This window comes from Homo sapiens, chromosome 5 (genome assembly GCF_000001405.40).
Source record: "Homo sapiens chromosome 5, GRCh38.p14 Primary Assembly".
NCBI classification, from domain to species: domain Eukaryota; kingdom Metazoa; phylum Chordata; class Mammalia; order Primates; family Hominidae; genus Homo; species Homo sapiens.
Genome location: NC_000005.10, coordinates 118,590,800 through 118,617,983, shown reverse-complemented (window position 1 = coordinate 118,617,983; position 27,184 = coordinate 118,590,800). Strand labels below are relative to the sequence as shown.

Sequence of the window (27,184 nt, the reverse complement as noted above, 5' to 3'; positions counted from 1 at the left end):
TAATGATATCATATACTGGATTCACAAAGACTATATCAGAATTCTGCACCATGCATTCTCACCAAACCAAGGGGAGAGAAGCACATGCTTAAGGGATTCTGAAGCACAAAGTGTTTGGACCTGAGATATGCACAAAATTTCCTTGAGGCATTTCGTTGTGAGAAAGGATATTCCATTTTTAAGCAACATGATCCAGCTATCTGCACATTTTCCAAGGATTATTACTTGTCCTTGGGTGTACTCTGATGCCTGGTGTCAAGATGAAGTAGAATATTTACTGAACTCCCTGGCATATAGTGCATTTCCTCCTGATAATTTATAAACATTAGGTTTTAGTAGAAAGTTACCAAAAAAGTTTCTTGAATAACTGAGCTCCCTTATTCGTGCTCACTGATGCTTAACTGGATGGAGCATTGGCACCCAGAATATTAAATCCTTTTCATACAATTAGGTTATGTGCTTATGCATACTAACAAGTATGTGAGTGTGGGATGTTTATCTTCTTCCTGAAGATTATAAATTCTTTTGGCAGGTACTGTCTCTTTCTATTTCACTGTGTAATATGTGCCCAGAGGCAATTGCGCATCCTCCAAACAGAAATCGGTGAAGTTAGAGAATGTCCTGAAATGTATGTCTCAAATATGTTGCATTTTCCCTCACTAGTATGTGCATCAGCCACTTGGTGGCTATCCTCCTGCATCTGTTATATTTATTACATTAGTTTTCAAAATAGATTCTTTATTTCATAATCATTTAAATAAGAGAAATTAAAATTGGTAAAGTATAGAATGCCATCCTAATTTTTGATTTGGGACAAATACTTAAATGACTAATTCAAGAACTGAATTTTAAACCTAAATTGCAGTTGAGAATATTTTGAGATTTGGGAAATGTCATTATGCTATCATTGTATTTGTTTTCTTTTGCCCATCTTGTACCTACCAGCTGAAGTAAAGATCTTGAGGTACAGGGACAGTAGTACTGTTGCTGTTTCCAATCCAGTCCATTTTGGCATTGAATGAGATGTAATATCATTGGAGTCTGATTGCTGAATCGGAGAGAATTGAACCTATTTTTGTTCTCAGGAAGGGAGAAATTTGAAGGTTACACTGAGATAAGGAGTAACAGGAGGAGGAAGAATAAGAAATTTTTGTTTCTGGATTTTCCAAATCCAGTGGCCCATATAACTACACCAACTGTTTTCAGGTGGTCAGTCCCACATTGTGGATGTATGTCGCCATCCACCAGAATAATTCTATTATTTTTTTGTCATCTTTATAACCAAGTATGGAAGTACTGGCATGCTTTGACCTCTCCTGGCTTGATTATTACATTAATCAAGATGTAATAATTGTCTGATAGGCATCCAAGGTTGGGCTCCCATAGTTGTGGTAGGGGTTGTGTTCTTACTACTTCCAGCACATCAGTTTGGCATATCAGTTATCTGCTTCCTCTACCCTGCTAACCACAGTACACTGTAGTCCTTATATGTGAAACCAAGAGAAATGACTTGAAATGAAAATGAATATTAGTAACCTATCGCATGGGTGGCCATGGGCCGTAGTTCATTCTGAATAGTGCTAGTTAAGACTCTGAACACATGTCTGAGAAACTTCAGATAACTGGTTTTATCACACACAATCATCCATGAGAAACTGCACCCCAGAAAGCTTCCATGTGTGTTGTTTACATTTTTATAGGCACATAAGCATTATAGTCTAAATAGCTCACTTAAGGTCACCCTACTAGTATTTAATAATAAATTAAGTTTAATCAAGAAAGGAACCAGATTGCTCTTAGGTGTATGCAATTCTATAATATTTTTCTGTAAGAGTAGAACGATGATACTGAATCTTGGCTATATTTTAGAATCACTTGGGAGCCAAGTGGTTGTTTAAAAAGTGGTGCCTGATCCTACCCCACAAATATTTTATAATTCATGCTGGGATGTGACTTGGGATTATTGAAAGCTTCTCATGTGATTCTAATGTGGTAACCAAGGTTGAGAATGCTTGCTCTGAAGTACAGATTCTTCTTTAAACACCATTTGATTTTATCATTTAATTGAATCATAATTTGTGAGCATTATATTTGTTGACTGATAACTTGTTTTATCTGTCCCTCTCAGAAGAATGTAGACTCTGTCAAGGCACAAACCATTTCTATCTTATTCGCTTTTGTATCCTCGGAGCCTGGTATAGTGCTGGATAAATGAAAATAAGTAATATTGTTTGTCTTTGAAAACAGTTCATTACCAAGGAGAAGTACAGGCTTCAGTTTTCCTAGGCAGCATTTAGCACTTTTACTGGAATAGTAATTTACTTAAAATGTGAGGGTGATAGCAATTTCTGTGGATAAGTGACCACATAAGAGAGTCAAGTGGAGGAGGAGATGGGGAGGAAGAGAAAGAACAGGTCAGTGGCGTGGAGCTGTGCTCCTGAGGGGAGCGTTCTTTACATGAGGAATTTTCAGAATGATAAGTTGGCTTTTCTTTGGCTTAAAATGACATTTTAAACTTCAATCTAATTTTTGATTCAAACTTAAAGTCGGTGTAAATGAGGAACCTTGATGGACAGTACAGGATGAAGGAAGACAATCTTAGTGGGACCTTGGTTTACCCAACATTTCAAGAAAAGAACCGGCTTTCACAACGAGTAAGCTGGCCTGGGCTGGGCTGGGCAGGGCTGTGCAGGGGGTTGTCAGAAGCAAGGCTCTCTCGTGTCTACTTTAGTTTTACACTAGGTGATTAATACAACCAAAAGTCACCTTTAACCTGGAGAATAATTCAGCCCGTAACAGCTCATCAATCTGCTGTTGCTGTGCAGCAGCAAAAATTTAATACATAATAAATAATTTTTCACTGGCTCACAAGGAATAAAGATTTCTTTGTAAAAATATTTCCCATTTTAAGGTTAACTATCATCACACACCATTAATGCTTAATCATACACTTAATTTGAAATCCAAATACTGAAGATTTAAACTGAAATTTTACCCACACCATGAAATGATTAATTTGGTAACTTGTGATCTTTGCATGTGGTTCCACTACTTACAAAGATAGGATGTGGAGGAGGAGTTGTAAGAAAGCTGAGTGGGAACACGTTGAGTCAGGGTATGTGTTTATATAATGCATTTCGCAGACTACTTTAAATTTTACATGACAGACGTTTTAATAATACTTAGTATACACCAGGCGTTGTTATTAGCAAATAACAAATATTAACTCTTTAAATCATTATATCCACTCTATGAAGTAGATACTATTGTTATCATTCCTACTGTGCCGACAAGAAACAAAGGCACACAAGAGATTATAACCTCTGCCTGCATTAGTCTGTGCTGAAGATCACAAAGTGTATTAGTGATACAACCAGGAACCAAACCTGAATTGTCCAAATTAGAGTCTGTGTACTTAATCCATAAGCTAAATTGCCTCTCCAGGAAAAAACCTTCCACCTCTATGTGCTCTCTTCTTAAACCTAAGGAAGGAGGCCGTTTTCACCACTTCAGTTAAAGCTGTTTCATGTCCAGGAGGAAGTTGACTTTTGTAAGATCGTTGACCAGTGGCAAGGGGCACCATAAGTGCATTTTGAAGGAGTGGCTGTTCTGATCATTGGCCCTGCACTTACCTGAGCAGTCCCAAGAGAGGTGAAGACCAGAAAGGCCAAGTTCAACATTTTGTTTGCATCTGTATTAAAAGAGAAAGAAAACATGTGTGAACTTTCTCATGGATACAGAAGTAATGGCCTCTAGTAAGCGGGCTGAAGTGTGGTGAGTTGGAGACTCACTTTTCCTCACATGTCTTCTGTGTTACACAGGTGTTTTCAATACTGTGCAACTGTTAGTTTCATAATATTTTCCACAAAAAGAAATATCATTCGCCTGTAATCCCCAGCACTTTGGGAGGCCGAGGTGGGCCGATCACGAGGTCAAGAGATCAAGACCATCCTGGCCAACATGGTGAGACCCCATCTCTACTAAAAATACAAAAATTAGCTGGGTGTGGTGGCAGGCACCTGTAGTCCCAGCTACTTGGGAGGCTGAGGCATGAGAATCGCTTGAACCTGGGAGGTGGAGGTTGCAGCGAGCCAAGATCGTGGCACTCCAGTCCAGCCTGGCGACAGAGCAAGACTCCGTCTCAACAACAACAACAAAAATATTCTGTGTATATACCAATTAGTATAAGCCCGAACTCAGGGAGGTCTTTGCTGTAGAAATTCATGTAGAAATTACAAGTATCTGAGCAAAGGTAGATCAGGACAAGGGAAGCTGAGTTTGGGGGCTCTTAGGGAAAAATAACCCTTAGGAACTGGTGACTTGTGAGTTCTACCTCGTTAAGCTAGGTACCCAGTGATGGGAAGGGGAAGCATATCTGACAGGTTTCTACCATGGCCATCAGAGCTAATGATAACAGAGCAGATGGAGGTTGAGGAGATTTGGGAGGAGAGGGCACGTGAAATTTAGGTTATGTTGCATTGGTGTGGCCTGTTGAGCATCTAAAATACCAGGAGAACCCAGATACATGATCCTAATGCCTGCTGTGGCATTGATGCTTGATGCACATATGCTTGATGGGACTCTGAATCCTTGGAAGGGCCTTATTTTGACAACTTGCCAGTTGAAAATGTCAGTAGGGGCTAGTGCACATGTATCTAGGCTGATATTTTTGCATTATAGACATGTCTTTAAATCTAATAGCAGAATTAGGTGCCATGAGTTAAAATACATATGATTAAGTCCAGACGTGGTGGCTCAGGCCTGTAATCCCAGCACTTTGGGAGGCCAAGGCTGGTGGATCACTTGAGGTCAGGAGTTCGAGACCAGCCTGGCCAACATAGTGAAACCCTATCTCTACTAAAAATACAAAAAATTAGCTGAGAGTGGTGGTGGGCACCTGTAATCCTAGCTACTCGGGAGGCTGAGGCAGGAAAATTGCTTGAACCTGGGAGGTAGAGGTTGCAGTTAGCTGAGATCATGCCACTGCACTCCAGCCTGGGCAACAGAGTGAGACTCTGTCTCAAAAAAAAAAAAAAAAAACAAAAACCAAAAAAAAACCCCAAAACCCAGAAACATACAATTAAGTGTTTTTTAGAGCTGTGGTTAATCAGATCATGATAGTCAAATGAATAAATTTTAAACCCTTATTAATGTTTTTAATGCTAGGCATTTACAGTTAAAATCAATATTTTTCTCAAAGTAATGACTCTAGATATTGGATTATATCATTTAGGCATAAAACTTTCTGATAAATATGCACTGGGAAATGATTTCACATCTAACTTTTCTTTCAGGGAAAGTGGAAAAGTTAAAGGGTTTGGACAAAACCACATATAACAATGTACTTAGTGTAAAAATATTTTTTAAATAATAAATGTGCATTTAAAACATTGTGAAAATTTGGTTTCTGTAACACTATGAATCCTAAAAGGCAATACAAAGTATTGTTAATCAACTGTTGGATTAATGTTTATTATAACCAAAAATTTTTATTTAGAATTTTCAAAATTATTATAAAGTAGAATTGCATATTTTATATGCTGCAATACTTTGGGGCCCCTCATCATTAATGTGTGGACTAATAGGAACATAGTTTTAATATAAGCTTAACTCCATTCTTTGCTTCACTGAGGGTCTAAAGTACAAGTTCTTTCTGCTTTCAAGGAAAGGGAGATTTAGAAAGTTTGTTTCGTGTGATAATTAAGGGCATGAGCCCTGGAGATAAACCACACAGGTTCAAATCCCCTCTCTAGCACTGATTAGCTGTGTGGCTTTGGGAAAATTATTTTTTCTGTGCTACAATTTTATAATCTATAAAAGGGGAATAAAAGTTACACCTACCTCTGATAGATGTGGGTATTAAGTGAGTTAATACATATAAAGCAACTAAACCAATGTATGCATATACTAAATATTTAATTAACATCAGATATTATTAGTTTTTGATTGGCTCTAGATCTGGTAGTAATCAAGGCCTTGCACTATCAAGGCCTATTATAAAAGACTACAGAGAAAGAATAATAACCGCTCGCTTGTTGAGTGCTTACTGTGTATCAGACACTTTTCAAGGCACCTTTTATGTACTAAAGAAAAGGGAATTTATAGGCACAGAAAAATTGTTTTTGATAAACATAGAGAAGAAATTTTCCCTGTGTCTGAAAGATCCTCTAAATTGGCGAGAGAGACCATGGGTCCTAGGAAAAGAATGGGTTTGGGTCATGCTTCCTAACAGCACAGCCCCGAGAGAAAGTTGGGGGTTGGTGCTTCTGGGACAATGGGATCATAGGCACTTTTGTAAAGAAAAATTCCTGATGAGAAGATTTCTATCATGGAAACAAAGGTCCATCAAGAATAGACTATGAAGAGTAGTGTCATTGTTTCAGCACCCAGAATCTTTGTGGTTCTTGTATTGACCTGCAATATTGGTCAGCTGTCACCAGAGGGTGCCCTGTCCACATCTGCCCAAAAAGACTAGATTAACTCTCCTTCCTATGGACATACAGGAAAGATTTTATTAATGGCAGCTAGAGTAGTGTCCTTCCATCAGGGGACATACCTGTCCAGTACAGTGACTGACTTACTCCATGTGAACGTCCATCCTCGTATCACAACACTCCAGCATATCTGCAAGACCAGAAGATGGTAGCGGGGCGCCGATCAATCAGTTGAATGGGACGGTGTTATCGTGGAGCTGAATTGAACCCTCTTAAAACCCCCTGTGCTGTGGCAGCAATAAATGATCCCTACAATGCATTAATATTCAGTGTATATTTGGGCTTATTTTAGAGACTTAATAAAAGTATAGTGGCTGGACATGGTGGCTCATGCCTGTAACCCTAGCACTTGGGATTAGGAGGCAGGAGGGAGGAGGACTGCTTGAACCCAGGAGTTTGAGACCAGCCTGGGCAACATAAGGAGACCTCATCTCTACGAAAAAAGTATGTCCTATAGCAAGATAGAAGAGGTAGATTCTATACATTCTACACTTATATTTCCCCAAATCTGTGTGAGCCTATGTGAACCCAGGCAAGTCATTTAATGTTACCCATTTCCATCATCTGAAGAATCAAGGGGTTGGGTTACAAGATGATACATAAAATTTCTAATAGTTTCTCTAAGATTTGGAACTCAAATGGATGATTGTGAATGCCTATAGAAGATCATGGTGAAATCTTTGAAGCGAGCTGGTAATGTAGTGCTAGTATTTGCAGATTGATAGGCATGAGTGCTGATAAAAGGAGAGAGAGGTCATTGGAGCAGGCTTTGATGATGGATGTGACTAGTTGATCAAGGGAAGAAAAACAATAGGCTGGAGAATGGAAAGAAGATGATGACTGCTGGAGTAAGTAATTAAGATTCTTATCCTCTGGTGACATTAGGCAGGGTTCTGGAAATCTTCATGCCTTGGGTGGATTTGCAGACTAAACTCAATAATTTATTGTTCATTTTTGTTCTCCTTACATTATTTGAGCTCCTTAACCCTGAGAACTTAAAGAAGAATGGAAAGCTATGCATTAAAGATAGAAATAGTGGCAGGAATATTTTCTTAGCTTCTTGGTTTCCTGTACTTGGCTCCAGGATGCAGACTTTCACAAATTCAGGCACACTTTCTTTAGGGAGGAATGTGGCTTAGAGTTAAAAGATGTTAACACTCCTTGGGGACTATTCTTATAGCTGCCTGAGTGGCAGGGTACTGTGACCTTGAAGAGAACCAAGGAGAAAGAACAGGTTTCAGGAGATAGGTATCATGCCAGTTGTAGCAATTGTGACCCATCCAGCTTCTGTGCATCAGAGTTGAACCATCTTTTCACTGGTTTCTCTCCTTGAAAACATTAAAAGTGAGTATTTATCTCTCGTTGGCTTATTTATTCCTCAGACTCAAAATGGAGAATGCATTGAATTATTTTCTCTGACATAGAGATAAAGTTTTTATACACTTAGAAAGCTCTTTCTTTGTTATTTTTTTGGTTTCAGTATATCAGTAGAGAGTTATCTTTTCATATATAATACTAACTTTTTAGATTTTTAACATTGTTATGGTAGTTTTAGTTTTCTTTTTTTTTTAACAAAAGGGGGAGATAAATCTGTGGATGAATGTTTCCTTACCTAGGCTGAAATCTCTTAGATATTTTCTTTTCTGTAAACCTCTGAGGCAGATGGTTTCAAACTTTCTCACTTTCAGAAACTTAGTGCCCTTAGTGATTCAGTATATTTTTCACAGTCACGCCTAGGCCAAAAGAAAAACCTAGCAGTTGTGTTTATTAAGTACATAGCTCCAAACAATTTAAGTATTTATACCTAACAACTTAACAGCTTTATGAAAAAATAATATACATAAGTTACCTGTGAGATTACTGTAGTATCCGAGAACACCTTGGCAAACAGTTTGGGAACCATGACTCTCAGAATAGATAACCGCAGATGGAATTTAAAGAAATTCCCACTGCAGTAGAGAGTTAGGTGGACAACTAACAACTTCTATATGGCCTGTCATTATCCAGATGGTGGGAAGCTGAGACATTACAATCTGGGCAACTAGAAAGGCAGGTGTGGTAGTAGCAGGAAGGAAAGTTGATGGCCTTCTTGGGAAAAAGCTGAGAGAAAATCCTTGGCTAATTCTAACTCAAGGAATGCAATGAAGGTCCTTGGAAGACAGAGTCAAGTTCGTTCCAGTGTCCCCACCTCAGTGATTGCTGGTGAGGTGAATGGATTTTATACATGTAAAGTGCCCAGATAGTCTCAAGTCTCAGTCTTTATGCAGTCTCATAATGTAATGTTTGATATATGCATTATATAAATTTTGCTGCTACTTAAATTCATTGATGAAACTCTGTGGAGTGTGAGTCCTACCCCTGCATTTCAGATAACACCAAGAGTGCAAGAACTGGGGCAATATGCTATCTATCAGTGTTCCTTATGGAATTTGGGTGTTACATCTTTTTTTTTTTTTTTTTTTTGTTTTTGAGATGGAGTCTCGCTCTGTTGCCCAGGCTGGAGTGCAGTGGCGCGATCTGGACTCACTGCAAGCTCCGCCTTCCGGGTTCACGACATTCTCCTGCCTCAGCCTCCCGAGTAGCTGGGACTATAGGCACCCGCCACCATGCCCGGCTAGTTTTTTGTATTTTTAGTAGAGATGGGATTTCACCGTGTTAGCCAGGATGGTCTCGATCTCCTGACCTCGTGATCCACCTGCCTCGGCCTCCCAAAGTGCTGGGATTACAGGCGTGAGCCACTGCGCCCAGCCTGGGTGTTACATCTTAATAATACTTGCTATTATAACATTTCCCAGAGTGTGTTCCATGGGAATTAATTGATGCTACTTGAAAATAATGTTCTGCAATTAGACGTGTTTGATGAATGCTGGGTTAAAACAAATTATGCTGGGCTTCACAGAGCCTTTAATATGTTAGTCTACATTGTAAAGCTTCGGGAGGAGAGATAATAGCATAATTTATTCCCTAAGCTTCATTGATCAAGGAAACTTTTTATATTGAATGAAACATCTTATAGATTCATGTTTCATAGAATATACTTGGGGTGAGTAGTTCCAAAGGATCTTTTTAACCTATTTCTTTTGAATTATTTGAATAGATATTTACTGATCAGGGCTCTGATTTATCTGATATTGTCTTTCACGTTGGGATTACAAATTGAACCCTAACGTTATTTTTATGAGAAAGGACAATGTATTTTAAATCAGTTCTTTTGCACACTAGTTTTCTTCAATGCACCATGGTTTAGGTGTGAATCATCTGTATAGTGTGATTGCGTTTCCAACATTCTAATGCTGAATTATGTATATAACACAATTCATAATTTACTGACAATTTCCTTGCAGATGAGTGCTTCTAGTCATCAGAATATAACAATGCACATTTATTTCCAGTTATCCACAAAGTCTTCAAGCCTAATAATACATGTTTTTTAAACTTGTATTATTTAAAGGGGGAACCTTTTAAATTCCTAAGTATATGCTGTATCACATAAGTTTGGTGCCCCCATTAAAAACATAACAAACCCTCTTGCCTTTCTAGGTTTTGGATAAGTTGGCAAAAAACCAGAGAAAATGTAGATACCAAAATATCAAATATAAAGTCTGTTATTGAAATGGTCAGGTTAATATTGAACTCCAGAATTAGGCAGACATAACCGTTCAAATCCAGTTAGCATTAGAGTGAGGTAGGCCTCCCCCTACACAACTTATGCCAAACATATGCTTTCCTCAGATAAAGCTAGTTGTACAGAAGAAGGAAGGGGGCTGAGTCTTGCATCCTTCTACTGCCCCCATTTTACCTGGTCCCTAGGAGTAGTGTGAGACTGGGACAAGTGATCTGGGATTACACTGATTAGCATGCTTCACAGGAGGGAAATATAAGGAGAAAGGAAGAAGTATTTCTCAGTAACATCCGAGTTAGCCAGGAAGGCTCAGGAAATCCCTGTTTGGTGATGAGATCATTGTATCATTGTTTAGAGATTTCTAATTCATGATGCAATGTATTTTTAAATGGTAAGTTTTAGAAAGCTTGTTTTTATAATTCTAAACTCTTTCAGACATCAGTTGTGTATCTAATCTTTTGTTTACAGGACCTACTCAATCTAAATCAGAAAAAGAACAGGCTGAAGCTACAAATAAGATAAAAAGAAGTAGAAATGACTGTCTTGTATTTATAAAATGGCGATCATGAGATTTCATGTTAATGACTGACTACCGAGACATGCTATTTGGCTCTATGTGTCTGTTTCCCACAGAAAGGATGTCAGGCCTGGTGTTGATGGGCAAGCTGTCCAGAACATGGGTACCACACGTGCAGCACGGGCTCGGGCCTCAGAGTCAGGCACGCTGGAGCACTCATTGCAGCTCAGGTGCCACCCACAGGGCGAGCTCACACATGCTCACTCTGGTGAGTGCTGATAGCAGAAAGGATGCCTAGGCTCTCCTTCTATATGAAGAAATTAAATACATTATTTAGGACTAATTTTAAATTAGCTAGGTCTCTTTTTTAAATGAAAAAAAAAAAACTGGGAGAAGGATGATTTGACATTATGAAAGCAGTTTGTAAGGGCTTTTCATATAAAGCAACTCTAGAGGAACTAGAAGTGTGAAGACACCCAGGCAAACTTTGGTCTCCAGGTTAATTCAGGGCAAGTTAAAAGAGGAGTCTGTCCAAACCTGGGGTAGAATCCCAGGGTGAGAAGCAGTGTTTGAGCTGTTGACACTTAATAACAAATAAAACTAATAGTAGTGCAGATATTTGTATTTATTTAAATCTCTTTCTAACTGAATGTCTTTAAAACACAGTATAAAGAGATTAGGAATACTTTTTAAAATAAATTTTAGTGATCTTAATATTGAGGCTTTATTTTTTTAAGTGAAAAGAGTTAGTAAGGTAAAGGTATCCCTTCTTCTCTCCTTCCTTTTTTTTCTTCTGTTGAATTCACCACATTTACGGGAGAACTGAATATCCAATGTTGATGTCATAACCATGCACTCCTCCTCTTTCTGATAGTTGTATATCCAAATAATAGGTCGAATATCTCAGAGAAAATAGCTATGTTCTTAAGTGCTTTGTTGTTGTGTCTTAAATATATACAATGTTTTAAATATATACAATGAAATATATACGTAAGGGTTTATAGAAGTTTAAATACCAGCTGTGTAACTATGATTATTTTTCTAGGAAAATCTAGACAAAATTGATAGGTTTCATTTTTAAAAATCAGAAAAAGTTATAAAGGGATTTTTATAAGTAAAATATTTTATTTTAAAACATCTTGTTTAAGGTAGAAGAGGTAAGGACTAACAGTTTAGAACTGGAGAGGGTCTATTTCTGAAGTAGTGATATTTCAGAGTGCAAGATTGCTGCAGGAAAAAAGAAAGGTGAATTTTTTCCTACCTAGATTTGGACACAGCAGCAGTTAATTTTGGTAAGTGAAGGACTTCATCTGAAGCAAAGCTTTACTGATAGGGGACTGGAGTAGAGCTAGGAGGAACAAGAGGCTGCACTTGGCACAGCTGAAGGAACCTCAGTTCTCATACCTGCTGGTCAGTGACACACAAAGTCAAGTGTGAAAACAGGAAAAAGTGGGTTTCGAAGCTGAGGCGGTCCAAGCCACCCACGATCACTTTGAAAAAATTTTCAGCATTCATCTTAGGAAATAAGCCTTCACATTTCTTGCTCACATTCTGCATGGCAGCCCAGAAGTGGGGGATTGAGGAAGATGATTTTACAATTCATAACTTGGCTGGGTGTGGTGGCTCACACCTATAATCCCAGCACTTTGGGAAACGGACACAGGAGGATCACTTGAGGCCAGGAGTTTGAAACCAGCCTGGGTAACACAGAGAGACCTCCTCTCTACAAAAAAAAAAAAAAAAAAAAAAAAATTATCCCGGCGTGGTGGCACGTACCTGTGGTCCCCGCTACTGAGGAGGCTGAGGTGAGCAGATTGCTTGCGCCCAGGAGGTTGAGGCTGCAGTGAGCTGTGATTGTGCCATGGCACTCTAGCCTGGGTGACAGAGTGAGACTCTGTCTCCATAATAATAATAATATTATAATAATAATAATTTTTAAAATGTTTAAAAATTAATAAAATTCAAAAGTGCTTAAGTAAGGCCAGATTAGTTTGCAAGTCCAGTACTAAGTTGGCTCAGTGGTGGAGTAGGGTAGAAGTGATGGGGAGGACATGAAGGAGAGTTGTCATGATGATGATTTTTTTTTATTAAATAGTGTTTAAATAACCTTTTAGGGAGTTTATTTTGACTAATTGAAAGAATGTTCAAATGCTTCAACTTTGATATCGTATTGGAACAATTTGGAGTAAGATTGGTAGAAATGTTAAATCTGTGGGTTCTGATGGCCCTAGGGGAAAACAGTCACAGAAAATTAACTTAGGATGCACTCTACCCATAACCCAGTTCAGCCAATATACTCTGCAGTTGAGGAAATCCTATCTTAGAAAAGTTCACCTCCCAAAAATGGAACAACCAAGACTAGCACCTGAGTTATTTATCTTCATATTTGGTGGTGGTCTTGTTCTAAAAGACCTAAAACAATTATTCCATAACATTGCATTACAAAATAAGCCATGGGCTCTACCACAAGAAGCTGATGTCTTGCTGGATACAAATGAATTTGATTGCAAGGTTCCCCAGTCCCTAAGAATTTAAAGGGAATACTTTAATAGGATTTCTTTGGGTAAATTTTTAAGAAGAAAGTTTATGAGACCACTTAAACCACTTTTCCCAAAGTTAAGTAAATTTTTTTTTTTTTTTTTTTTAACAGAGGGTCAAACAGATCATCTGGAATAGTGGTACGTTTTTGAGCAAGATAGCATTTCTGCCAGGCCCAGTTAGTTTACACTGAGCTGTAACTGTCTTTGGCTGGAAGTGATAACTAAAAGCCCCCTATGAGCTTGTGATTAGCTCATAGGAGTATTCATTTGTGTGGATACCTGGGTCGACATGTCAGTAAAAGTGTCTTAATTCATAGCTTTGGGTTTGTCAGAATAGCCCCAACAACCCTGACTTTCATGTAGGGTCAGGATATGAATTTTGTGTAAGGAAGAAGCATCCTCACTCTTGGCTCATACAACAGACCCAGTGGATAATAATGAATTCTTTCTCTCCAGGAATCTGAACAAACTGCCAAGTTGCAGGTTTTCTTTAAGTAAAATTGGAGCCTATTCACATTTGTTTCTGATACTTTTTACGCAACTCCAGGAATTTTCGCTTTAGTACATGTGAATTGCAAGCCTGTTTATATTGGTGATTAGTATATGAGGGAACTTGAGGCTGGGATAGAAAAAGATGTTAAAAGTTTTATTAAAGTCAACTCAAGACCTTTAGAGAGATAGCTGAGGGAAAAAGAGGAGCATAAGGAAGGGGAAGGAGAAGGGAGAATAGGCGGAGGAAAGGAGGGGAGGAGGGTGAATGGAAAGGCACAGTAACTGTGGTGGTCATTATTGATTGTTCACTGAGTATTTCTAGCCCTCCTTGCCTGTGAAAATAGACAATGATGTGAAAACAGATAATAATACTCCCTCTACTCCTGAAGTTAATCTTGGCCTTGTAACCTACTTGGCTAAAAATTCATGAGTGGACCTGATATGTGCCACTTCCAGGCAGAAATGTAAAGAGCCAGTGCCAGTTAGTGGTTCTCCACATTTCCTTCTTTCTACTGTAATTGTAGAAGTACCTGCTAAGATGTAGCCCTGTCAGGTTTATCCCTGAGTGAAAATGATGAGCAGAGTCCCTCTGCCAACCTGCATTGATATTTCATGTCAGCTAGGAAATCAACTTTTATTAACATTGAGAGTTTGTTCCCATAGCGTAACCTAATTTATCCCATCAAACACAGAAATTAGGACCTAAGAAGAGGGAGTCGGCATAACAAAACTATGAAATAGGTAGCATTGGCCTAGCTGCTTAATAGAAGGTGGCAAATAAACTTGTCAGAGGCTAGAATGATGGTGATTCATATTATACAGTGGCAAAACATTTGGTAAGAATGTTGGTTGGAATAGCTTTGAAGGCAAATCATTTACCTAATGATTTTGAAGGCAAATCATTTATCATTTGTAACCTTATGAAAAGAGGTTGAAAAAAGAATCTTAGTAGCATGTGTTGGTTGCTATTGATTATTCACGGCAAGCTCAGGAAAAAACTGGTCAGTGCAAGCAGGAGTACAAGGGAAGAGAGGGAGTCCAGAAATTTGGAGAGACTTGTGGGTTTGGAAGAGACTACTGCTTCTCAAACTCAACTTGTAAAAGAGAAAATTGGACAACGAAGGCTGAATAAACCCATCCTCATGGCAAATAGCAAATCAAGAGTATGGTTGTCATACATTGTTAAAAGCTTTGGATGGATTAAGATGTCTTGGAATAAGGGTCCAACTGATGAGGCAATACCCCCAAAATCCTTTCGATAAGGTAAAATGGCATGGAGGAGTGAAAGCTAAAGTTATGGCTCTCACTCTCTAGCCAGATAGACCTAAGGTATGTGCAAGTCAGAATACATATCTGTATATGTATATATATATATATGTGTGTGTGTGTGTGTGTGTGTGTGTATGTGTGTGTGTCTATATATATACACACATATATAGACACACACACATACACACACATACACATATAAATACATATGTGTGTGTATATATATATATATATATGCAGAGAGAGAGAGTGGGGGGACAGTGAGAGAGAGAGAGGCGGAGAAAATGAAGTGGAGGCATGGGGATGGGAAAGCAAAGAAATACAGCAAATCTAAGTGTATCTAGGAGAGAACCATGAGCATAGCTGCTGGCACAAGGAGGCTACAGGCCTCAAATAGCCACAAAGTTAAGTTTTCAGGAGAGTTGTATTGTCATAAGACCCAGTAGCCTGAACTAAGAGAAATCGACTATTGAAGACCTAAAATGACTTTTGGTCAGAAGTAGATCAATAAAGTTTCTCAGCCTTCATTGAGGGCATGTTCTTCAACATCTGTATTAGAGATCTGTATTAAAGACAATAGAAAAGAAAAAAAAAGTGTCTAGAGGGTGGGAGTCAAGGGCTATGGACAGTGATGTTTGGAGAGCTTCTCCCATACAGCAAAACTGCAGCCTATTTAAGGAGCATTCTCCACCCCTGGGGTGGAGGACCTTTGCTGTGCCCACTCAGAGGAATTTTAGGATGGCTGCAGGCCAGTGACTGCTGTGGGTCTCCCACACTTCCTCATATTTCACTTTTGTATATTGGTGTGAGTTGGGCCTACAACTTACTGTCTAGATCTCCAGATCGAGAAGAGTTATACCCACATCTTATACAGAGATTCCCATGCATCACCTAGAAATTCTAGAGATGTTTCTAAATGGGAAGGACATCACAAAGTAAGCCAAAGATTTAAACCGACTAAGGAAAGATAATTGCAACACATGTGACAGAAAAGGTCCCAATCATTATTATATTAGGAATGCCTATAAATCAACAAGGAAACATGCAATGGGACAATAAAATGATGAGCAAAGAACAGCTAATGTGTTGTTAGTCTGGGTCTAGTGAGAAATAGATGCCAATAGGGGATTAAATGTGCAAGGGGAATTGAGAGGAAATGGGGAGGAATCTGTTAAAGGCTGGGAAGGTTCTTAGACCACGATGCAAATCTGACCCTAAGTGAAAGAGAGAGGGAAGGAACATTGAGTAAAAGCATTTCAGACCAAGGGTACAGTCTAAGGAAACTTCTGCGAGGTTGTTGAGGACCCTTGAGCCAATGTAACCCTCTGAGGAGTCTTGTGTCTCTCAGGAATGGGCCTGCCTAATATCTCTGCCATGCTCAGTAATGGGCAGGGAGCAGAGGACAGCAACTAGGACTCTTGGTCAGTTGTGCCCCTTGTAGTTGGAGGTCTGCAAGACATAATCTTATGGCCATCACTGTTAACTTTAACAGTGATATGAAACACATGAAGAGATGGACAACTATTCTCATAATAACTGTATTTCAAAATAAAACAATGACAAGAGATTACTTTTTTTATCCCCCACATAGGTAAAAGATTTTGAGAAAGATACTAGACCCTATTGGTAGAGATGTGGGAAACAGCAAACTTATCCTTCAGTTTTGAGAATGTAAGTTGATATAATTTTTCCACAAGACATTTTGCCGTATCTCTTAATATTACAAATGCACACACGCATAGCCCAGCAATTCTATCTTTGTGATGTATCCCACAGATACATTCACAAATGCACAGAGAAGTATGTCCCAGGATATTTATTTAATGAGTGCTTGTAATAGCAAAAGATTGGAGACAACTTAAATGCCCATCAGTATGGAACTGATTATGTAAAGTATGTCTATCCATAAAATTAAATACATGCCTTTAAAATAATGAGGCATGTAATGATAAGTCACACTATCTGTGATATATGTTAAAGTTGAAAAAGAATATGCAGAACAATGTGTAAAGTATGCTAAATTTGTGTTTTAAAAAGAGAGAGTCCCTATATATGCATCATTTGTATATGCGTAATGTACCCCTGAAAGGCTACATGAGAAACTAATGTTACCTGCTGCCCCTGGGAGAGGATTTTAGGGGACAGAAGTTGGAAGAAGACTTAACTGTTCACTGTGTTTCTTTTAGTACTATTTGAATATTTTACCAAGAGTATTTTTTTTTTTTTTTGAGATGGAGTCTTGCTCTGTCACCAGGCTGGAATGCAGTGGCACAATCTCAGCTCACTGCAACCTCTGCCTCCAGGTTCAAGCGATTTTCCTGCCTCAGCCTCCCGAGTAGATGGGACTACAGGCATCCACCACCACACTCAGCTAATTTTTGTATTTTTAGTAGAGATGGGGTTTCACCATGTTGGACGGGGTGGTCTCAGTCTCTTGACCTTGTGATCCACCTGCCTCAGCCTCCCAAAGTGCTGGGATTACAGGCATGAGCAATCATGCCCGACCCCCCATGAGTATTTTTTAAGTAAAAAATTTAACAGTTTAAAACTGAGTAATACATTAAAAACAAACAACAAACAAACCTTTCTTCCCCACCCCCCGCCACCCGTAGCTACCATGCATGCATCAATTTCATTTCTTATCATCCTGTTATATGGTCATGGAGAACTGTCCTTGGCTGGCATCAGTACACATTATTAAGTTAAAAAAAAATTCAAATGTTATTTCAGTCACATTGGAATCTTGTGCTGGGACAATTTTGCCTAAATTGAGAAGATTTGTCTTCTACCAGAATCTGCCCTTAATGAACATTACTACAACATCTGAAGAAAATCCAGAATACAGTGTGATAATCAAGTTTGGGCATGATTTTATGCTTTCATTTATCACTTTGCAAAAGATATTTTGAAATGAAAAAAAAAAACCCCACATATCTCTTGGAGGTTATGCATTAGTATGGGAAGCTATGAATGAAGAACATGATATGACACACTCTTTCTGTTTTAAAGGAAAATCAGAAATATAAACATTATATTTTTAATGTGATGCCTATTATTTGCACTTATATATTTGAATTTATATATTCTTGGCTCCCATCTGCATCTCTGAGATACAGTATATGGTATCACACAACTGAAGGAATCTTAGAGATCATTTTTTTTTAATGTTACAGATAAAAAACTGGGGCCTAGAGAGATTAAATTTCTCAAGGTCACATAGTCAGAATTAAAACCAAATTTTCTCACTTTCTGGCATCAGAATATTTAATGTGAGCATGACTCTGTCTTCACAAATGCAGTGTCTCTGACCACACTACCTAGGGCTCAGGAAACACTTTATGTGGGCTTCTTTGTATACGCTCTCTTTTCCTTCAAGTGCTTAGGCCTTCCCAGAAAGATGACTTGTGGGCAAACATTTGTTGGAGAGCCAGATAGCAAGGTTGACATAAGAACTGAGATTGGTCATTTTTCTCCATTTAAAAATTTATCTTGAGCCTTTTTTCCTTTTCACAACTACCATATGAGTATTGATTTTAATTAGTTCTGTCTATTAAGATTCCCCTTAGGTTCAGAAGCCAGACTGGTAATTAACTGTTCAGCTTTCCTCTTGCTGACGGCATTGTTAGGTGAGTTGCTGCTACCCTCAGTCAAATACTGGGATCAATGTTCCTCTATGGATCCACCCTTAAGAGTTCAGACTCAGATAGAATTCCTGTCTCAGGTGATTTCCCCTAATTCTTATAGACATGGGAAGAGAAAAAGGAGACTCCTCAGATTGTTGACATTTTCCCTATTCATTATGGTGAATACACTTAAACCAAAAACTCAGAATGGTGTGCCTGTTGTAGGCAAGTAATGTATTGATGTCCAGATGGATTACTTGAAGCTTGCTTGATGGGTTAATATCAAACCATTTCCTTTTGCATTTCCTGAATGAATGTGGTACTTCTGTTGGGTAGAGCAGGGCCTGAAATTGTATAGTCAAAAGTTTTCTTCTGCTTTCATTTTATTCTGAATTCTGGGAAAGGTAGAGATTGTGCCTCAATAATTTATTGATATATGAAATTTAATCTCCCAGAAATATATGTGATGTTCAGACTTTTAGAATAAAATTTCTGAGACTGAATTCCTGAAGTGCGTATTCGGTATTTATGCAGATTTTCGTGACCAAATTTGTGTTTGAGTTTGTAGTTACAATGTAATAGGTGTTTGGGATAATGATAGTAATTCTGGATTTGTTTGTAGATAATTAATTAATAATTGGGTATGCACCATGACAACAACCTTTTAGATTAAATCAAAATCATTGCCGTTTTCTGGGGTGTTTTATTGAGTGCAACCCCTTATTTTTAATGAAACAGCTAAACAGTTTAATGTATCCTTTGTGATGTTCACAAGCTCTGGATTTACTGTGATTAGGATGACACTACAAAATTCTCTGTGTTCAGCTGAACAAAAATTGAAGGTAGAGAATGTCCGGGCCCATCTGTTTCTTATGTGCCAAGTGCCTTTCCTTTATGACTACTCTTCCCTCCCATGGTGTCCCGTCTGCCTCAGCAGACTCTCTCTTGGGTACCTTGAAACATTTGCAGTCAAAATTTATTTCCTGAATTTGGTAGCCAAGACTGTCCGTCATAGCTGAGGATTTAGTTCCTTTGTGATATTTTTATTCTTGCCTGGTCAATCTGGGAGAGTTAGACTTGAATGAAAGTTGAATTCACATCTTGAGGGCTAGCTGGAACAGAGGACTTAGAGTGGTCATTATAAAACAAATCATATAATTAGATGACTGTCTTTGCTCATCTACTCCTGGATAATATTTTTAAGCGCCTGTCATATGGCAGACTGAAATGAAGCACTTTGTGCCCCTTGTCTTATGCTTAGCAAAGCATCACTGGGCAAGAAAAATATAGGGATGCACTGAAGCATAACACAAATTTGCTGCAGTGCCATGGACTTTTAGAAAGAAATGATAGATTATCAACCCACGGGTAGTAGAGTTAAACAATTTATTCATTCAGTCGTTAGTTATTGAGTGTATAGTATTTACATAACATCCTAAGATCCATAAAGTAAACTCTAGATTTCCTGCCCTCAAGGAGAATATTTCTAGGAGTGATTTAGTCTGATCAAAGATATTGTGCTTTCTGTGAAACAAATGAACTGAAGTGGTTACAACGACAGAGCCTGTGAGCAGCTGTCACATAATTGAGCCAGAGAAGAGGGTATTCATGTACTCAGCTCAGAAAAGACTTGGGTCACACGTAACTATGTGTAGGAACACGACTCACAGCTGGATTTTAAGGGCAATTATGCAACTATGACAATACTAAGCAAGATCTGATTTCCCTTTAGACTTGAGTCCTGCAAAATAGAAATGTGTTATCTATCTTCTTTCACAGCAACACTTAATGATATGTCTGTGCAGCAACAGAACAATCCTTTAAGCAAGAAAGTGAGTGACAGTCATTGACAAAATTTGCTGGGAATTAATTTTCTTCAGTTCCCTAGTGAGCACATGCATTTTATACTTCCAGTTGATTGTTGCAGATGAAAGGAATGCAGAATAAAATGGGGCTATATTCAATACATGTTAAATGTAATACTTTATACTTTCAGGAGAATAAATGTTTGTATTTCTTCCAAGGAGGGTTATATAGAGGCTAAAGTTGCTGGTGATGAAACATTAAACGTTTGAGTACTAACCCACCTTGAGATTACTTAATACTGTATATTCTGAGGCCATTGCTTCAGGTGTCTGATGTATGGTTATTTCCAATGTTCCTCTTCTGGAAGATGGTGCTCATGGGAAGAATAAACAGGACTAGGAAATAAGATTTTTTTAAAAGCAGTTTCTTTAAAGTTATTCACAGTTTATCCTCTGAAAGGATTGCTTTATAAGAATCAACAGGATCATACATGCTAAATTGTATTTAAATGCAAGTTTGCTATTAACACACATCCCCAAGATAGCATAGAATGAATAAAGGTATACCTCTGGGATCAGACAGCCAGATTGATTTGAGTCCTGGCTCTGACATTTATTAGCTGTATGACCTTGGCCGTGTTACTTAACCTCTCTGTGCCTTAAAAGGTATCTAGCTCTTAAAGTTGTTGTGAGGACTAAATAAGTTAATAATAACTCGAGTTGCATATCTAATACATGTTTAACATGTATTGAAAATTATCCTGTGTGTTCCTGGTGTAGAGCATGTGCTCAAAAGGTGCTTGTGGTTGTATTGTCATTATCTCCAACCTTAGCCATTTGCTATTGTATCATACCAAGGGCCACCAAACTTCATGTCTGTCAGTGACTGCTTGATTGTGTAACCCCAGAAACATTTTTAGTGATCATAGAGTGATTATCATTCCTTAGCCTAGGCTAATTCCCAAGATCCACTTCTTTTCCAAATGCTATATGTTGGATAAATTTCTCTTTATTTACTTTGTATATGATTTACTGCCTCTTTCTAAAAGGGATTCGGTGTCGATTTGAAGTCTGAGTCCTCCAATTGCACTGGCGTTTCCTGGGGGGTCATTTCAAAGTTGTATACAGAGACGTTATTGTTCTCTGCTACCACATGACTGAACAAATGTGACACAATCATTTTCTTGTTGGAGGCAAATTTGCTGACTGTGGAATTTCTATTGAAAAATTTAATATAGGATCTAAAGGATCCTCCTTGGCTTCACATAGATTGTAATTGAACTGATGTCAGAATGTTCTGATGATACAAGAACTAACTCCCATCCCACCAGGACTGTAAATATTTCCTTAGCACCTGCTATGTGCAAGGTAGAAAATATTAGCTTATCACTGTCACTTACCTTCACAATATCTATTTCCAAATCAATAAGCATGGCATGTCAAATTTTCCAAGTTTCAGGCACCAGAATAGATCCAATGGGAACTTTCTGAGTACTGTGTTGAAAAACAAAACAAAACAAAATTGAGAAGAGGACGAATTTCTCTCAGTCTCACCAGCCAGAAAATATCCAAATATATCAGAGTACCAAGAATAGGGCAGCCTGAGAAAGGAGAAGGAAACGTGGTGTCCAGGCCACACCACTGTGAGAGGCTGTGTGAAGACAGGGAACATGGCTACCCTTCATTCTTTTCTCTCTGCCTTGTGGTTTCTGTCAGTTTTCTACCTGCCAGGAGGAGCCTGGGTCTAAGCCCCTGCCTTCCATTCTGCCTCCTGTCCCCACCCCTGATCTTGGTGAACCCAGTGCTTTTAGACTCATCTTTTCCAGTCAATTCAAATCTCCTTAGGCTCTGTCCCTCTGCTGTTTCATTCTCTGACAGTCACCAGAGAAATGAGCAATGGTACTCACTCTGGCCATCTTGGGGTCACTTTAATTCCAGGGTAGGCGTGTGTCCATGCATTTGTATGAGCTGGAAGAGGTAAGGATCAATATGTATTTAGGAAACAATGTGAGTAACTCTCATGCAGCTTCTAATAAATCTAGGCACCTTAGCTATTACTTTTTTTATTGAATAAGCCAGGGCATTCAATGTTGACTGGATTTTTAAGAATACATTAATTTATGTATATATTTTGTATGTCTATATTTTTACATATAATATAAATATAAAATTTTTATCACTATATATTAATATTCATTTTTATATGTATAATGATTAAACACAGTTTTTTGTTCCACTGATGGGCTAATTTGCTTGTTTTCAGTAAGAAATGTTTAAAGAAATGTACAGATGAAGTAAAGTATATAAACATGCATAAGTTAAAACACATCACCATGAGAATATTGCAAAAGGAAGAAAAGGGAGAACCATATCATTATTTGATTTATTTAAAAAAACTTTATAATTTGTAGCATTGTGTGTTAGTTATCTTGTGAAAGACAAATAAAATATTTGCCCAAGAGTGTGCAGGGACGTGCCAGTGTGCGTGAAGACACATGTTGGTCTGTATTTCAGTGCATACCCTAGTTTACACTCTTCAGAAGCCATGAAGCTGGGGCTCCTGGTCATGCCCTCCACTATCTCTCCTCCCCTGGCCAAGGTGAGAGTTTCTCATTGTCACACCCACCCAGGGGCAGGCTTCTGACCTTCAGTTGCTCTAAGGACCAATGAATGTCAAGGGCCTTCTAGCTTCCGCTACTCTGGCAAGGGGACTGTTACACCATGTAAAATAAGAATTATCCTACAAAATCCAGGGCACAGAGAGCAGAACATGTTGGAATGTACTGTTTAGATGACCAACAGCCACCAAAATTGGAGTGGGGAGGAAGGATACCTGTCATGTATGTTTTCAGCATAGAGTCCCCCTCTGCCCTGACAGTGTTTCCATCACTGTACATTGGCAATTCCATGTAGAATTATTTACAGGTGCAAATGACCTCTTTGCTGGCTCATTCATTTTGCTTTGACAGTTGGCTTGTGATATAGAAATTATTTTATATAAGCACATTACCTTTTTTGTTTCAAGTTAATAGATTTGTGTATTTAATTGCAAACTATTTTTAGCCCTATCATTAAATGGAGAGGGAGAGAATGCAAAACTGAAACAACAGAGGCATGTGGAAGCAGGATTTATGGAGGAAACGTGGGAAGAGGGTTGGACTGAAGTCCCAAAGTTTGGGTTTGAGTCCTGCTGTCCAGGATCCCATCTGCTGGGGCTGGCCCAAGAACATGTGGCGCCATGCCCTGTTCTTAACTCATTTTGTGAAGTTCTTGCATATCTCTTCTCTTTTCTCTGGTCAGGCCACATGTTGATCCTCTTCTCTTGATTGCTTGCCAGGCAGAGTCAAATCTGTATTTTGGTTTTATTCTTATTCTTTCTCAAGGATGCCAAATAGGAGAAGTAAACCAACATTTATTGCAAATCTTCCATTTGTCAGGGACTTGATTTATCGCTGATTCATCACTGAATCCTTGCAACAACCCTGAAAGTTGGGACTGATTATTTACATTATTTTAAATATTTTCATTTTTAAAAATTTTATGGGGGAGGAAACTGAACATAAGACATGTTTAGTAACTTGATGAAGACCACATGGTTAATATTGCAAACCTATATCTATCTGAATCCAAAATCCTATGATCTTCCCATTCCAGAGCATTGCCTCTCCTTGAGAATGTCCTGTCTCATGGGGTCTCCATTGCTTTGAATAGAGACTACCCACACTCATGTAGGCAGCTCTGGCTTTCTTTTTAGCCTTTTCAAAATAAGTGTGGGTCTCTTCATCTGTAGAGATCAGGACTCAACTTTTTATAGGTCAGAGAGGTACAATATCTGATGAAAGTTTTACATTCTCTCAGAAGTCATGTACACACACACATACACACACACACACACACAAACACACATGTTTGCATATTATGTAAGGTGATTCAGAGGCCTCCTGAGGTCTAACTCTGGACCTCTGTTAAAGACTGCTTAATCTGGAAGATTACTTTTCACTGGTTAGGGGCTGGGAAAATGTCCAGTTGTCTCCATCCTGGGCAGGCAAAGTAAGTCATTTTATAGCACCATATGAGGCATGGTGCATGCCTCATCCCAGCTGAAGTTTTTTCAAGATAGATGATTATGTGTCTGTGCCTGGTTCCTTTTGACTGGCCCCTGGAGGGCTTGGTGGAGCAATTAACTAAAAGATGGTCAGGAGAACTGGGTTTCTCATCTGTACCTTGCTTTCTTCACCTAAAATATTGACATGATTTCTGTTTTCTCTGCTTTTCAGGGTGAAGGTAAAATGAGAAAAGGGGATAAAGTACTTTGAAAGTAAATGTCAGTGAGTCCCTGAGGAAAACCTGGGCTTGGTCATTTTTACACAGCTGGCCATTTCAGGTCTTCTCCTTGGAATATCCTGTAGCTGTAGCTGATATTTCTCAAACTTTCTGAAGGGAGGGAACACTTGGTGTTTTCCACCTGAGGCTTAGCTGAGGATAAGCCCCCTGCTGGTGTACTTCTAAGCTGCTGAAGCCCTTCATTTTAAATGAACTTTGAGCCTGAAATTGGGCAGACTCTTCTATTTAGCATTTTAATCGAGAGCTGCTCAGTTCTGGTGGCAACATTATAGCTGGAAGGTTTGATTAATCTGAAAAATAATCTGATGCTTAAAGATTATGTTAGTCTTAGAGCACTATAAAGTAAACATCTGCCAAGTTTTACAATCCACCCAAGGAAACACGACACCTGTCCTTAAAATGGCTGACGTAGCAATTTTTTTTATTATTAATTTGAAGTTTGGGATGTGCTATGGTAGTCTCCCTGTTGTTCATTCAGGTAGAGACCCAACTCAATAGTCCTCAAGCCATAACATGGTCTTATGATAGGAAAGGCTCTGGTGTCTTCAACTGAGTGAGCAATTCTGATTCATTTTCTCGGTGTGATGCAAAAGATACTTGCAGCTTTACTGCTGTCTTTGCTGCCTGTTGGAGCCTTTTTTTTTGGGACTAATCATTTGACTTTGCGCTAATGAGATTAAACCCAGCAGGGGCAGATATTTTCTTTTTTAATTTTCATTTCTGTTATTTAATTGGCATTACATGCACATAATGGGACCAGAAAAAAAACACCCTGTAGCAATCTGTTCAATACAAATAACTCAGGCAGATGCAGCCAGATGTATCCATGGTGACCTCCTTGACTGTGTCACTACACACACATTAGGGAAGGCGGCCCAGTATGCTTAACTCCCTGTTTGCTGAATGTGTCAGAAGTGTACTTTCTCTTTTTCTTCTCCCACAAGAAAGGACATTTCCCAAGTCCATGCATTTGCCCCATATTGGGAGTTGTCTTCTCAGCATCTGTGGGAGTGACACAGATGTGGATGGTTGTCCCCAGTGTTAGTGTTGGCTTACTGCTCTGTGGCTTCAGTGTTGCAGACAAAGACATTCTCCATCTGCTCCCAAGGCGTCATCTTACAGTATTCCTAATGGAGGAGAAATATTGAACCATATGAGAAGCCAGCAGAGCAGGTGACAAACAAACAGAAGTTTCCTTCCCATGCTCTTGATTTCTGTATCAAAACTAGCCTTCTATTCTGAAAAAAGATAGTTTTTAGGGTCATCAGGAGTTTTTAGGATCATCAGCACCTTTCCCTGGATTCTGTTTTCGGTTCAGATCCTTGATCCACAAGTGTCCAATAAAGCACTATTGCATGGTCATGACCACAAGGCTTCTTTCAGTATACTTACAAGAAATGGTAAATATCTCCTTCTTTTCCAAACATGAGGTGAAAATTACAGTAAACCCCACCTCCCATGGAGCAAATTGGGTGATTCTACCATGTGTCCTGGAACTTTCCTTTGTTTATGAGGTACATGGAAAATGAAAGTCTCCATACCTGTAATATATAGGACATTAACATGCTATTGTCCATCTGCCACTGAAAGACGGGCACGGAGGAAGGAAGTCTCACTCCACCTCAGTTACGCTCAGTTACGCTCTGACCTCTCATGATTTTCTCCACCTCGAAGCTGGTTGTTTCCCAGTGTTCCCTATCTCAGTGACATGCACAAGCATCCTGGTAATGCAGAAATCTTAAGAGGCATCTGTAAATCCTCCCTCCCTCTCTTCACTGCATTTACTTGTCTTCATTTCTGTTGCTACCCCCATGCAGCCAGCCTCTGCCTGTAATACAGGACCAGGGTGATAACCTCTCAATTATCTTCCCCTTTTTTATCCTTCCCTTTTGCCATTCAATCCAGCAACTGGATTGTTGCTTTTAAAATGTAAGTCAGATCATTTCACTGCGACCTTGCGGTGGTGGCTCCCATCACACTTAAGCAAAACAAAACACAATAACCAAAACTAAAGCCAAAACCAAACCACATTAAATTCTTTCTGTGGCCTGCAGGGCACTGTGTGATCTGGGATCTGGCCATCATCTACTAACTTGCCAACATCTCATGTTTGGTCCACTTGCAATCACTACCTCTTTATTAGCTTCTTTTCACTCTTACATGAAGACAAAATGATTAGCATCTCTCATGGCTCTGAAATGCCTCCAGCTTCATCTTGCTCCACACTCCCCTTCTTTCCCTTTGCTCCACAACCTGCTTTCAGTTCCCAGCGCGGGCCTCTTTCTGCCCCAGGACTCTGTGCCTGCTAGTTACTTGTTCTGGAACAGCCTTCCTTTTCCCCTTTGATCTTGTCAGCCCTTAAGTAGCATTTCTTCAGAGAGCTTTCCTAGATTCCAAGGTCAAGTCATGTTCTTTGTCATTTGGAATCACATGACTCTGATCATTTCCTACTACCTGCTTACTGTAAGCCCTATCCAT

At 38.9% G+C, this 27,184-nt stretch overlaps 1 long non-coding RNA gene across 1 annotated transcript in view; it reads right to left on the bottom strand.

Annotated features, from left to right (window-relative positions):
- LINC02215 (long intergenic non-protein coding RNA 2215) overlaps positions 1–21,796 on the bottom strand; it is a 31,905-nt gene extending 10,109 nt beyond the window's left edge. Inside the window, exons 1-4 of the long non-coding RNA NR_104998.1 lie at positions 21,763–21,796; positions 8,107–8,245; positions 6,557–6,624; positions 3,633–3,691 (exon numbers count right to left, since the gene is read on the bottom strand). This is a non-coding gene — a long non-coding RNA (long intergenic non-protein coding RNA 2215). The remainder of the gene's footprint in view (positions 1–3,632; positions 3,692–6,556; positions 6,625–8,106; positions 8,246–21,762) is intronic.
- Positions 21,797–27,184: the final 5,388 nt, after the last annotated feature.